Here is a 16,151-nt window from a genome sequence, read left to right as displayed (position 1 = left end):
AAGGGCATAGATAAAAAATATACCAAACTAATGCAAAGAGAAAAAAGCTGAAGTGATTACATTAATATCAAAGTAAAGACTTCAAGAAAAAACATTGTTTTAAAGGGATAGTGATTGGTAAGTGTTATAATCCACCCATTTTAGTCTTTTTTTTTTTTTTGCTTAAAAGAAAATACCTATAACTGGATAATTTATAAAGAAAATGAATTTATTTATTACAGGTCTGGGGGCTGAGAAATCCAGGGTCAAGGGACTGCATCTGGGGAGAACCTTCTTGCTCCTTGCTAGTGGGACCCTCTGCAGAGTCCTGAGGGGGCACAGGGCATCACATGGCAGTGGGGCTGAGTGTCTAGCATGCTTGTTCAGCCTCTCTTCTTCTTCTTATAAAGCCACCAGTTTCCCTCCAGTGAAAACCCATTAATCAACTAATCCATTAATCCATGAATAGATTGAGGGGTGAGCCCTCATGATCCAATCACCTCTTAAAGACCCACCTCTCAATACTGCCACATTGGGGGTTAAATTTCAATGTGAGTTTTGGAGGGGACAAATATTCAAACCATAGCATTCCACTCCTGGCCCCACAAAACTCATATCCTTCTCACATATAAATACATTCATTCCATCCCCATAGCCCCAAAGTCTTAACTCAGTCCAGCACCAACTCTAAAGTCCAAAGTCCAAGTCTCATCTGTAAGCCTGTGAAATCAAAACATATTATCTATATATAAGCATAGGGTACACATTCCCATTCCAAAAGGCAGAAATAGGCAAAAATGGGCCAGGCACGGTGGCTCATGCCTATAATCCCAGCACTTTGCGAGGCTAAGGAGAGGTGATCTCCTGAGGTCAAGAGTTCGAGACACTTTGACTCAGTGTCCTGCATCCTAGGTACACTGGAGAAGGGGCTGGGCCCCAAGATCTCAGGAGGCCCTGCCCCTGTGGCTTTGCTGGGTGCAAGGCACATCACAGCACTCCCAAGCTGGTTTGCATGCTGGTGGCCCTACAGTTAGGTGGTCTCTTTGGTGGGCCTGCTCCCATGGCTCACATGGTGAAACCCCATTTCTACTAAAAATGCAAAAAAAAAAAAAAAAAAAAAGCAACAACAACAACAAAAAAAAAAATTAGCCAGGCATGGTGGTATGGTGGTGGGCACCTGTAATCCCAGCTACTCAGTAGGCTGAGGCAGGAGAATTGCTGGAACCCAGGAGGCAAAGGTTGCAGTGAGCTGAGATTGCACCACTACACTCCAGCCTGCATGACAGAGGAGACTCCATCCCCACCCCCAAAAAGAAATAGGCAAAATGAAAGGAGTAGCAGGTCCCAAGTAAGTCCAAAACCCAACAGGGAAAACAACAGTAAGTCTTCAAGTTAGAGAATAATTTCCTTAGACTCAGTGTCCTGCATCCTAGGGACATTGGAGTAGTGGCTTGGCCCCAAGGTCTCCGGAAGCCCTGCCCCAGTGGCTTTGCTGGGTGCAAGCCACATCACAGGTCTGCCAGGCTAGTTTGCATGCTGGTGGCCCTACAGTTAGGTGGTCTCCTTGGTGGTCCTGCTTCCATGGTTTCATTAGGCATTGCCCTTGCTGGGGCTCTCTGTGGTGGCTCCAACCCTACATTTCTGCTGGGAATTTACCTAATAGAGGCTCTCTGTGGCAGCTCCACCCCTGTGGCAGGTTTCTGCTTAGGCTTCCAGTACAAGTCGTTCTTTGAAACATAGGTGGAGACAGTCATATCCCCATAGCTCTTGTATTCTGAAACCCCATAGACAACAGCACATGGATGCCACCATGGCTTACAACTTATACTTCCTGGAGCTGTGGATCAAGATGCACCTGGGGCTGCTTGAGCCATGGATGGGGCACTGAGGAGCACTGTCTTGAAATGCAGGGAACACAGACCCGAAGTGATCCTGGGCAGCAGCCTATCCCCAAAACCACTCTGCCCTCCTATACCTCTGGTCCTGTAATGGGAGGGGCAGCCTCAAAGATCTCTGAAATGCCTTCAGGGGTTTTCTCCCATTGTCATAACAAAGAGCCTCTGGCTTTCTTCCATTCATTCTAATTCTGTCATTAATTGGTTACTTGTTCACATCCTTGGTTTCCTCTCTTGAAAATGCTCTTTCATTCTCTACCACATGGCCAGGCTGTGAATTTTCCAAAATTTTTCCCCTCTGTTTCTTCTCTCATCTTACTATAAACAGCCAAAAGTGGTCATGCAGCGGCCTGAATGCTTTGCTGTTGAAATATTTCTTCTGCCATATATTCCAGTTCATCACTCTTAAGTTCTGCCTTTCATAAAGTCCTCAGGCATGGACACAGTTCAGCCAAGTTCTTTGCTGCTTTATAACAAGGATGGTCTTTACTCCAGTTTCCAATACTCTGTTCCTCATTTCCATCTGAGACTTCATTGGAATGGTCTTACTGTCCATATTTCGACCAACATTCTGATTGTAACAGTACCTCTATTTTTCTTTCTTTTTTTTTTTTTTCTTTTTTTTGAGATGGAGTCTTGCTCGGTCGCCCAGGCTGGAGTGCAGTGGCACCATCTCAGCTCACTGCAAGCTCCACCTCCCAGGTTCACGCCATCTTCCTGCCTCAGCCTCCCGAGCAGCTGGGACCACAGGCGCCTGCCACAACGCCCAGCTAATTTTTTGCATTTTTAGTAGAGACGGGGTTTCACTGTGTTAGCCAGGATGGTCTCGATCTCCTGACCTCATGATCTGCCTGCCTTGGCCTCCCAAAGTGCTGGGATTACAGGCGTGAGCCACCGTGCTCGGCCTGTACCTCTATTTTTCTAAGAGAAAGATAATACATTTTTTTTATTACTTTTTTCTTTTCTCTTTCCTCTTCTTCCCCTGTTTCCCACTTCCTACTTAGGTCCTTACCAATGCAATTATAACCTTTTACCTTCCCTTCACCAGACACTCCCTACAGGGCAAGCTTCTCTATGTGCTTAGAAGCTCCAGAGCCAAGAACCTCTCCAACCAGGGGATTGTCTCGGGAGACAACACTCAATTTACAACCTAAAATATGCCCTGTAGAAAACTCTCTCCTACCTGGAGAGGACCCCAAGACAATGCACTTTACAGCCTAGTTCTGCCCATGATGGCACCGCTCAGCTACCCAGTCCAGAAGGCACTGAAGCAAGTCACCAAAACCCCACTGGCTCACTCACTCCCCTGCATGCCATTCATGCCAAGTCCCCCTTTATAAATCCCTGCTTTCTGCCCTACAAGTAAAGCAGTGCCCTTCAGGCAGAAAGCCTGTACTCCTTCCTGTAAGCTAGTTTTTGAATAAAAATTCACTTTCTTCACACCAGACCTCGCTGTTGTTAGTTGGATTCTGCACGTGGCAAGCAACTGAATCTGCATTTTGGTTACATGATCACAACCACTTAAGTAATCTCTAAGAAGATGCAGACTTTCCCTAGTCTTCTCTTCTGAGCCCTCACCAGGATCACCCCCTAATGCTCCATTCACACCTAAACAGTTTTTTCTAGCCTGCTCCTCCAAACTCTTTCGGCACCCACCCATTACAAAGTCCCAAGGCTGCTCCCACGTTTTCAGGTATTTGTATAGCAACAACCCTACTTCTCAGTACTAATTTTCTGATTTAGTCCATTTTCTGTTGCTTATAACAGAATACCTGAAACTTATAAAGAAAAGGTCATTTATAAAGAAAAGGAGTTTCTTTCTTACAGTTCTGGAGGCTGAGAAGTTCAAAGGGCCACATCTGCTGACAGCCTTCCTGTTGTCACTGGTAAACCGAATTCTTTCTCCACTTTGTATATATTGCACAGAAAGAACATTCAATTGGAAAAGGCAATCAGGTTTTTATTCACTGGCCAGGGAATGGAGAAGGCAAGCTCTCACTCTAAATGCACCTTCTCTCTGAACGGTGCATGGGTTTTTAAGGACTAGGTTCAGGGTAGAAGAGGAATGTTAGCATGTGCGGAGCGGCCCTCCAGACATGCAGGCTCAATTCATATGCATATGACTTCATACATCACATAATCATTATATATATAATCAGAATAGACTGATTATATTTGTTCATTTTTTAAATCTTAAACATTTAAAGTTTCACAGCAACAGCTTATATTCAGGGTATGCAATTTATAGGTAGCTAATGCATGAAAAATATGATTACAGTTTTGTATTACCCATTATTTTTCTCTTGTCAACCACAAAGAATTTCATTATTATCTAATCTGTGGCCCAGATGCTGCCTGTCTTTGTTTCATCTATAACAGCATTTCCTATCATGTGGCTACAGGATAATAATTGTGATTACAAAAAGAAAAAAGTACAGGAACTCACAGGTGAAACAGAGCTGAACACAACTTTTACAGAACTCATCAGCTCCTCACTGTAAATCTCCTAGATTGGACTCTCATGTACCTTTTTTTTTTTCCTTTTTTCCTTGAAACATTTGCTGCTCTTTTTAGAAATCACAAACAGGGTTTCAAAAGTTATTTAAAAAAAAAAAGCCTGAAGAAAGAATCCAAAATTTGAGACCATACCTACTCTAAGAAGTGGTGAAAACCACATGGAAAAATATCAAGTAGTTTGTGTCTAATGCTTTCAGAATTCCCTCTTGTACTTCACTCAGAGGAGAAGTTATAGGAACCCCTACAGGAATTACAATGACAGGGCCAGACCCAGGAACAGCCTGCACACTCGAGTTTTGAAGTTTTAACTCATTCTCTCTCCAGCTGTCTCACACTTGTTGTTTGTTGTTTTGTTCGTTTCTTTCTAATTTAGAAAAAAAAAAAGTAGTAGTCAGGGAGTCTAGTCAAATACATCGGAGTTGGGGGGAATTATTAGATACCCAAATCTTAGTGATGCATTTGACTATTTTTCGGGATGAAAAGCATATATGGGTAGACATTGGCTTGGAGGGGAAATGGTGACACAGGAGAGATGAAGGAGCAGCACTTTGAAGTTGATTTTTGAAGAAAAACCATTAGTTTTCATCATTGTATAAGGACATCACTCTATGAATCATAGCAATAGGCAATTTGCAATTTAAAAAATAAATAAAAAGGCATCCTTGTGGCTAAATGGCAGTTTAGATCACAGTTCCTAAGGCCCACTGAAAATCATAAGCTACTGTCTTTCCTGAGCACATAAATGAATTTTTCTTCCATTTTGACAGCTCTATCCCTCCAGGTCATCCAGCTATTTTATCCCTTAATATTGGCTACTCTTCCTCTTCTCTCAGACGTCTCACTTTTTGCACCCGGCCCCCAAACACACTAAAAGATTAAACTCAAGCAGCCTTCCCTATTGGGAAGCCTTTTTTTTTTTTTGAGACAGAGTCTTTGCTCTGTCGCTCAGGCTGGAGTGCGGTGGTGCCATCAATCTCGGCTCACTGCGACCTCTGCCTCCCGGCTTCAAGCGATTCTCCTGCCTCAGCCTCCTGAGTAGCTGGGATTACAGGGACACACCACCATGCCTGGCTAATTTTTGTATTTTTAGTAGAGACTGGGTTTCACCATGTTGGCCAGGCTAGTCTCGAACTCCTGGGCTCAAGTGATCCACCTGCCTCAGCCTCCCAAAAGTGCTGGGATTACAGGTGTGAGCCACTGTGCCCAGCCTCCTACTGGAGACTTTTGATGGGCATTTTTATTTATCTGAATTACGGAAAAGGAAAGTAACAAAAATGAACTGTGCAGATAGAGACTCTCCTCATATAGGAGTTGTCAGATCAAATCCTGCTTCCAAAATAAAGAAATAAAGAGGTGAAATGAAGACAGGGTTGAGCTGAAGAAAATTTCATGCAGTTAGCACTAGGGGAAGTGGGAGAACATAGATGGAAGCAGCACCTACTGGATGTGCTCTTTTGTGAAAGGTGCTTAATGGCTGCTCACTTTGGAGATGACTGAGTCCAAACTGCCTCATCTAATTCTTCAAGTCATCTTCCATCTGCCTGTTAAGCAGTAACAGGCCTCCTGAGATTATTCCCTTATGCCAAAATGGGATGTCATGTTAATCCACACCATGACCGTTTTGTATCTTTCTTCCCTTTGTTTCCCGGTTTATAACACTTTCCACCTCTACCTCTCATTCTGGAAAATTCTCCCGTGCTCTAGACTTGAATCTCTGATACTTCACCTCCCACTTATATGAACTTGGGCGTGTTACTTGATATTGCTATGCTTCAATTTTCTTATGTGTAACTGCAGATAATAATAGTCCCTACCTCATAAAGTTGTTACAGAGATTAAGTAATAATATGCATGTAAAACATCGATTGAGCTATTATTACACAGCCTTTAAGATTCAAGTTCAAATCCCCCTTCCAGGCCGGGTGCAGTTGCTCACCTCTGTAATCTCAGCACTTTGGGAGGCCAAGGTGGGCGGATTACCTGAGGTCAGGAGATCGAGACCATCCTGGCTAACACGGTGAAACCCCGTCTCTACTAAAAATACAAAAAATTAGCTGGGCTTGGTGGCGGACGCCTGTAGTCCCAGCAACTCGGGAGGCTGAGGCACGAGAATGGCGTGAATGCGGGAGGCGGAGCTTGCAGGGAGCTGAGATCCGGCCACTGCACTCCAGCCTGGGTGACAGAGTGAGACTCCGTCTCAAAAAAAAAGAAACAGCACCAGGGGCAAAGTGAACCCAAGTGCCAAGCTCAAATTCTGCACTCTCTTCCTCTCATTCTTCATCATCTTCTTAGCTTTTTGAAGCTTTTAAGAAGAGGGTTTTTAAAAAAATTCTTTTAAATTTATTTTAATTTTTATTTTTAAATAGAGACAATGTCTCACTATGTTGCCCAGGCTGGTCTCGAACTTCTGAGCTTAAGTGATCCTCCCGCCTCGGCCTCCCAAAGTGCTGGGATTACAGGCATGAGCTACCATTCCTACCCAACACAGATTTTTTAATTTGTCACCAGAAAGAGGATTGATCTAAATGATCTCATCTGAAACTCCTAGAAGCAGAAGTCTTACTCTATTCTTCACCATTTTTCCAGAAACTCTGACCAAAGAAAGACAACAAAATATTTATAAAATATTTATGAAATATATATAAAATATTATAGTTGTTTGAAAACAAGCAAAAAAGCCCCACTCTTAAATACAATAAAAGAACATAGGTGTGAGTTACAAAAAACATTTTTTAATCACTTGTTTTTCTATGGAAAATAAGTTATCAGAAAATATAAGGAAAAATTTAGAAGAAAGAACAAAAACACAAAATACAAATGTTATGGTCTTTTTGATGTAGCAACGTGACTAAATTAATATGCCCAGTATTGAATCTAACACTAATCCAGGTGTTGCGCTGAAGGTATTTTGTAGATTAACATCCATAATTGATTGACTTTAAGTAATGATGATTATCCTTGATAATTTTGGTGGGCCTCATTCGATTCACTGAAAGCCTTAAAAGCAGAATGGGGCCGGGTGCGGTGGCTCACGCCTGTAATCCCAGCACTTTGGGAGGCCGAGGTGGGCGGATCACCTGAGGTCAGGAGTTCGAGACCAGCTTGGCCAACATGGTAAAACCCCGTCTCTACTGAAAATACAAAAATTAGCTGGGTGTGGTGGCAGGCGCCTGTAATTCCAGCTACTCGGGAAGCTGAGGCAGGAGAATTGCTTGAGCCCAGGAGGCGGAGGTTGCAGTGAGCCAAGATCGTGCCACTGCATTCCAGCCTGGCCAACAGAGAGAGACTCTGTCTCAAAAAAGAAAAAAGAAAAAACAAAAAAAGAAAAGCAGAACTGAGGCTTCCAGGAGGAAGGAATTTCATCTCTGGATAGTGGCTTCAGCTGATGTCCAAGAGTTACAGTCTGCCCTTCCCGATGGCCTGACAGATCTAGACTGTCCTCTCTAGCCCCCCAAATCCCATCATTGTTACACAATTATTGGCAACAAATATTTCAATATGTACCTCCTGTTGGTTTTGCCTTTCAGGTTAAACCCTGACTGATAAAATAGGTAATAAACTAAACAAGAATTTATGTGGAACTTTTTTGAAGAAAAATGTAAAATGCTGCTGAAGAATATAAGAGCAGATAAAGAAACTTATCCAATTTCTGTACTGAAAATGCAAAATATTACAAAACTTAATGCAATTTGAAATTAAATCCCAACAAGACATTTTGGGGAACTTGACAAATTTCTTCTAAAAAAAAAAATTGTCATGGCTATGGGGTGGTGGAATTAACCTACCAAATAGTAAAACATGCCATAAAGCTACAGTAATTTTAAGTGTGGTGTTAGAAGGGGAAGAAATAAATAGATCAAAGAAACAAAATAAGGAACTCAGAAATAGACACGTGTATAAGTGGGAATTTAGTGTATGATAAATACGACTTTCAAATCAGTACAGGTAAGCTGGATGTACTAGTTATCTTTTATTGTGTGACACACCACTCAGAACCTCAGTCAATTGAAATAAGAACCATTTACATTTATTTAGTTCATAATTCTGTGGCATGGCAATTGGGCTAGAGTAAGCCAGGTGGATTTGGGATCTGACCAGACTTGGTTGATCTTGGCTGAGCCTGCTCATGTGTCTGTAGTCAGCTGGTTGGCCAGTGGAGCTGACTAGTTTTAAATGGTCTCACTCACACATCTCATGATTGTCTGGGAGAAACGGGTGAATGGGCCACATGTCTCTTACCATCCGTCAGGCTAACCTGGGCTTGTTTAGATAGTGGCAGAGTTCTAAGAGCAGAGAACAGGTAAGCCCCAATGTATAATCACTTTTCAAGTGCTCTTTTGTATCATATTTGCTACTGTCCCATCAGCCTAAACAAGTCAATACCAAGCATAGAATCCATGGGGGAGGGCACTACCAAAGGTCATGGTTACAAGGAGGAGTAAGCAAATTGAGGTCATTACTGCAACTGATCTAACACAATGAATTATTCAATAAATGGCGCCAGGAAAATTATTAAAATGTTGGGGGAACAAAGTAGGTTAAACTCCTATTTACGTCAAGGTAAATATCAGATGTATTAAAAATTAAATGTAAAAATTACCATATTTCAATAACAAAGTTGACAAACAACAATGTTGAGGAAATATTTGCAACATATATGGCAATAGAATAAGGTCCATAATATATGAAGAGAGGTTAGAAATAAGTAAGAAAAAGCTAAAGCAGTGGGGAAAAGATATAAATTCTTGGAAGAAATACAAACGGACTTTAAACAAAGGAAAATATGCTTAACATCAGCAACTATCAAAGAAATGCAAATGAAAACAAAATATTTGCCAGTTTGACAAAATGGTGTGTTCATGTCAAGTGCTATAAAGTGGGTGGTAAATAGGTACCTTCACATCATGTTTGTTAAAATATAAGTTGGCAATGTATTTCTGGAGGGCAAACTAACACTATGTATCAAAAATGTTAATGTGCCTACCCTTTGATTCATCAGTCTAATTTCTGGTAATTTATTTAAGAGTTAAGTGTGAAAAGGTATAGATAAAATATATGTTATGTAAAATAATATTTATTATTGCCCTTTTTTAAGAAGCTAAAATTAGGGAAAAAAATCAAACTTTCCATCAATAGAATTATCATGATGTATACGTACAATGAAACATCATGCAGTATTTATTCCAGTGATCTGGTGGAGTCGTAAAACCAAATTTTAAAAAAGAAAAACAGAAATATTATGCAGTATTCAAATGCATAAAACAGATCCTCATGTATTGCTACAGAAAGATACTCATGATAGATTCTTGACAGGCATATGTAGGTTAATAAAATATATGGCCTCTCCTATGTATACATTTTTGTCATCGGCACAAACAATTATAGGGAATGTTTACCAAATTGTAAAAAGGATTGAAGGATTTGTTTTTACACTTTTGCTATTCTGTTCAGCTTTTTAAAACAGTAATAAACTGCAATGGAATTGCTTTTATGTTGCAATGAAGTTAACTCTATTAGTGTGCTTCTTTAAAAATCACCCTAGGTCGGATGTGGTGGCTGATGCCTTGTAATCCCAGCACTTTGGGAGCCAGAGGCAGAAGGATAACCTGAGCCCAGGAGTTCGAGACCAGCCTGGGCAACATAGAGAGATCCTGTCTCTATTTTCTTTTTTAAAAAATTTATTTAAACAATAAAATTTTAAAATTACTTCAAAGAATTCTTTGACAACCAGTATTTTGATGCCATAGCATTCTGATAATTTTTAACAATGTATTTTGAACCTTTATGAATTCTTCAGATAGAAAGTGCAATCATGGACTAATGCAAAATGCTGCTCCTGGTAACAATGAGAAGATGAATTTCTAAAAGTCTCGAAGAAGAGAGTGACTCCATTAAAAGAAGAGAAATTTAAAACAGAGTATAAACCAAAGTCCCATGAAACTCCATTGGCTCCCAGAGCAGGATCAACTTGTTATTAGTGAATGAAACTAAAGGATTCAAAGGTGGTTAAGATAAGGAAATAAAGAAGAGACATTATTTAGAATCCCATCTTTCAGTGAAGTCTGTCTATATTCTGTAAGCCTCTGTGGCATCTTTGGGCCTCAAGTTTCCATCCATCTCTAATTAGTATTGGCAATTAAGGGTTACATATGTGAGCTAAACAAAAATTTACAGTCCTAAATAATTACTTAAAGTCATTCAGCACCTCCATTAATGCCAGAGCTGATTTGAGCACCAGTGAAATATGTCTTCTGTCTGTTATCAGGAAGAGAGAAGGTGCAAAGTCATAGGGAGGTGAGGGTTTTCAGCAGAGGCCAAGAACAACATTTGTCTAATTGCTTAGGCGCAGGTACACATTGACCAGATTGTTAATTCATAAATTTGTAAATAATTGCCTTGAAGAAATAAACACCTCATAAGTCACATTAACAAAGGGCCAAATTCAAGGACATTTATTAAACATGAAAGAGATTTATAGATAAGGAAGGTGTGCTGCTTGGCCATCAGGATGAACTGATAGTAACCTCAAATGGCTATTTCATTTTGAAAATGCATATGATTCCTTATGCTTCTATCTTACCATCTATCAAGTGAGGGCACTGTTGACTTTCAATCTGTATGACAGATTTAGGGAGAGCTAGCTCACCTTTTAAGGCTTTCACAGAGAAAATGTGTAGCAAAAAAAAAAAAAAAAAAAAAAAAGCACAAGTTTTCGAATCTGGAGCTGCACCCCAGTTTCCTCTTCTGAAAAATGGGCAAAATACGGTTCACTTCCTAGGGTGCTATGAGGATTAAATGAGACAATATACGCATAAGGTCTGGAATATCATTAATACTCAGTGAATGTTTTTCTCATCCTTTCCTCTGGCCATCCCACCTCCTTGTGATGCTGTCCAGGCTCTTCTTAAGTGGGTCACATCCACCTCATCCTTCCACATCACTCAAAACTCACCTCCTACACAGAGTTACTTTCTCTTCTCATTTAATATCTACATCACAAGGGTAGATATTAGAGGGTGGGGAGAAATTCTTTGGTTCACTTAATAATTAGGGCTGGGTGCAGTGGCTCACGCCTATAATCCCAGAACTTTGGGAGGCCAAGGTGGGTGGATCACCTGAGGTCAGGAGTTTGAGATCACCCCGGCCCACATGGCGAATCCTGCCTCTACTAAAAATACAAAAATTAGCCGGGCGTGGTGGCGGGCGTCTATAGTTCCAGCTACTCAGGAGGCAGAGGCAGGAGAATCGCTTGAATCCGGGAGGTGGAGGTTGCAGTGAGCTGAGATCGCTCCACTGTACTCCGACCTGGGTAACAAGATGAGGACTCTGTTTCAAAATAAATAAATAAATAAATAAATAAATAAATAAATAAATAATAATTAGGCAATGAGCTCCTATTCTGCTGTCAGGCATGGACTTAGCTCTTCAACTAGATTAGAAGTTCCCTGTGTTTTGGGGCATTATCTTAAACTTCTTGATTTCCCCCATAGCACCCATCATGTAGTAACATTTACTGCTTAATTATTAGTTTACATTACTTGATTGACTGAGAGATTTTCTGAGGCACCTAAAATATTTGGGTAAACTTTTTTACAAGAGACTTGCTCTGTCAACCGGGCTGGAGTGCAATGGTCTGATCATAGGTCACTGCAGCCTCGAATTACTGGGCACAAACCATCTTCCTGCCTTGGCCTCCCAAAGTGTTGGGATTACAGGTGTGAGCCACCACATCCAGCATGTTTAGGTAAGTATTTTAAAGGTGATTTGGTACATCAATAATGCCAATGTCAATCGCAAGCACCATAGCTATATGGACAGTTTGTGAAAGAAGAAAGAAGCCAGTTTTCAATCTGTTCTTAAAAAAAAATGACATTCATATCATGATCTTCCAAAGTTCTCTCCTTTTTTCAATATAGTTAAACATTTCTCAAAAAATCTCCTATGTGTTTCTGAAGTTTGAACCCCAGTTCCATAAAGTTTACACAAAAGCTCAATATGGTAATACTTTCAGGTGATACGTTGGATAAAATGGTTTTTAATAATTGAATATCTGTTTTTGAACATGCATCAACACTTTTGACTTTTAAAAAAAATGCTTGACCGGGCACAGGGGCTCACAACTGTAATCCCAGCACTTTGGGAGGCCAAGGCAGGTGGATCACCTGAGGTCAGGAGTTTGAGACCAGGCTGGCCAACATGTTGAAACCCTGTCTCTAATAAAAACACAAAAAATTAGCCGGGCATGGTGGCAGGTGCCTGTAATTCTAGCTACTTGGGAGGCTGAGGCAGGAGAATTGCTTGAACCCGGGAGGCAGAGGTTGCAGTGAGCCGAGATCATGCCATTGCACTCCAGCCTGGGTGACAGAGTGAGACTCTGTCTCAAAAAATAGAAAAATAAAAGAATGTTTGATCCAGGACAATAAAAAATTGTTTTAATCCACTTTCAGAAATTACATTTTGTATGCAAATTTATCAACCAGAAATTTTCATGTTTTCCATTAACCTAATGAAAAATACATAAACAGCAATCTAGGCATTGTATCAACATTTTAATAATCATTATACAATAGCTATGCCTCACTGAGAAACAGGTTTTCTTCCTTGGCAATAGAATGCTTTAAAAATTGCTTTTCATTACTTAGATATTTTATTATATAATTTTTAGTTTTACATTTCCTATTTATACCATGAATGATTAAGAGTGGATACCACCAAAGACCACTCCAGAACATTTAATGTTGACCAGCCCTTACTCAGCAGGATACTGACGAGTAAGCAGCCATTCCAGATAAGTAAGTGAGTGGCTTTCTGTTATGTAAGCAGTGGGGACGTTTACTGAAAGCAGCACTGAGAAAATGGGCAGCCGCAGATCCTGTTGGAGAAGCAAAGAGCTGAGAGCAGGTGGGAGTGGAAGAATATATTGGGAAAGTAGTGCAATGATGCAAACCCACTCATCATTAATAGTTTCAGCATTTATGTTCAAAAAGAGAAATGTATAGAGCAGGTGAGCAGTCAGAAACCAGATTAGCTCAGTTCAGATGGAGTATCCCGGGGAACAGCAAAGATTCAGACAATGGAAAGAAGAAATACTTAAAAACACACCCATAGAAAAACAAATGGAATACAGTTGAAATAACCTAGACTTGGCATCAAAAACAAAACAAAACAAAACAAAACAATTAGGCTCAAGGCCTAGCTCTGGTCTTGATAACTTCTCTGAGGCTTATTTTCTTCCTTTGCAAAATGAGGGAAATAGTATCTGCAGCCTTGAATTAAGAGGAGTAAATGGATCCTTGGGGAAACCCTTTATAAACTCTAACATGTCACATGCAGTGTTATTGTTATTTTCTAAAGTTATGTCCAGGCTCCTACGTTCTCTTCCTGCCGCCTTCCTCCCTCTTCCAAGGTTGAGTCAGGGTTAATGGCAAGAGCATGTTATTGGCCCTGGTGCTAAGAGGTAGAGCTTTCCCTGTGAGTAGCTGAAGGACTAAAGCTGGATCAGCATGAGTACAGTGAAATAATTTCCTCCGTTGATCTGGACACAATAATTCCAATTATGCACCTGAAATTTTCATTAGCTTAAGTAGTCAAATCAGCTTAATAGCTTGTATCGAACTCACATTCATATAAAATTGTGAAGACTTCCCTTTTTCTAAAAATAATTAATCCTTATTCGATGCTTGTGCTGTTGATATTTAAAACCAATGTGCAACATTTTTATTCCTGCTAAATTGTATCCGGCTGACTGGCCCCTTGAGTGCAGCCAGCTGAGATCAGGCATCCTAAGTATTAGCCTGCTCTCCCACATTTACATCATCCATGAGAAGCAGCGTCTCCCTGGAGAAGCTGTGACGTCAAATTAAATAAAGTGGTACACGAAGTTTGCTACACATTCCATGCTGGATAGATCATCTTGGAGATTTACAATGTCCATTACCATACTGGGGCCTCTGATAGTCTATAGTAAGGAATCCTAGTTAACTGTGTTTAACCTTGTATTTCCCAATTTTTTTTTGACCATGGAACACACCTTAGGAAATTTTGGTATTAGAAAATGAAATACTGTGTTGCCATGAAAAGAATGAGGTAGATCTACTTGAACTGACATGCAAACATCTTTAAATATTACAGGAGAAAAAGCAAGTATAAAACAACAAGCATAGTCTAACTGCCTTTTAAATTAAATGAATAAATGAATCCAGTACATATGTAGGTACATGTACAGAAATCCCTAAGCACATGTATAAAAGGCTGGAATGATAAATATCTTTCTGCTTTTGGTGACTATCCCTGGAGATCAGTATAAGTTCTAATGGAATGGTGATGAACGGAGACCTTTGTATTTCAATCTACGTGTTGCATAGTATCTGAATCTTTACACTGAGAATGTATGATAAATTATTTGTTTAGTAAATACAATTTTTAAGTTATAGGATTGTAGGGTGAAGTGGGCCAATATTTTAGCCAGTGATTATGTATAACTACATTTTTAGATAGTAACTAGCCAACTGGAATAAAAGAAATCAAATAAATATGCAAAATCAAAACAAATGAAAAATTGTACTTCCTGCCCAGATTCTGAAAGTCAGTAAATAAGACTTTGCAAGACAAGTTAAGCAGATTTTAAAACCTTTGGTGGAAAATATTTTCCACACAGTTTATTTGGATTAAAAACTGAGGACTATGTAGTATAATTATTACAACCTGCCTTGCCTGAGGATGATGTTAAACAAAGACCGAATCTCAAAATATTATTAAAGATTAAAATAAGAACTCTTGTAGAGCAGGCAAAGATTAGATGGTTCTGGGTTCAAATCTAGAATTCTATGCTTTCTTTTAAAGCCTTGGTTTCCTCATCTGCAAAACATAGTTGTTTAAGACTTAACTGAGGGAAGGGTAGTGGGAATGGGGACAAAGTGGGGATGATCAATAGGTACAAAAATAGATAGAAGGAATCAGATCTAGTATTTGATAGCACAACAGGGTGATGATAGTCAACAATTATTTATTGTATATTTTAAAATAACTAAAAGAGCAGAATCGGAATGTTCCTAAGACAAAGAAATAAATGCTTTGGGTGATGGATACCCTAATTACCCTGATTTGATTATTACACACGGCATGCCTGTGTCAAAACATCACATGTACCCCATAAATATATATACCTCTTATGTACCTACAATAGTTAAAATTTGTTTTTTAATTTAAAAAGACTTAACTGAAAAATATAGGGTAAATTATCTGGCTCAAAATTTACATTAACACTTTTTCCATGCAACAATGTCATGTATTACTTTTGAGAGCAGGCTAGAAGTCTGAGAAAAATTAGAGCTCTGTCAGAAATGAAACCAAAAGATGGACTTGGAATCCAAGAAAAGCCATTTAGGTTTCCTTCTAAGCAAGTATTCATACTCACAACTCGGTGTTTACTACTGAGGCATGACTGGGGGTCCTGATTGTGTGACTCAAAGCTGTGTTCTGCATTCCTGGGTATAACCACGGGGTCCTGACAAACGCCATTGAGCTGTTTTGTCCCCAGAAATGTTCATCCCAGTTCGAGTGAAATGAGAGCCCAAAATTTCAGACCCAGAGCAGCTACACAAAGGTGCATTTATGAGAAAAGCATGTCTTAAAGGATTCTTAATCGATACACACTATCTTTGTCAGGCTTTTAGGAACATAATGAGATGAGTCACTATATTAGAAGGGTGGGAAAGAATCGGAGAGGAGAAAAGACTGGAGTTTATGAATGACCTAAAG

The sequence above is a fragment of the Homo sapiens genome, chromosome 4 (assembly GCF_000001405.40).
Source record: "Homo sapiens chromosome 4, GRCh38.p14 Primary Assembly".
In the NCBI taxonomy this organism is placed as follows: domain Eukaryota; kingdom Metazoa; phylum Chordata; class Mammalia; order Primates; family Hominidae; genus Homo; species Homo sapiens.
Note: the sequence above shows the minus strand (reverse complement) of the source record.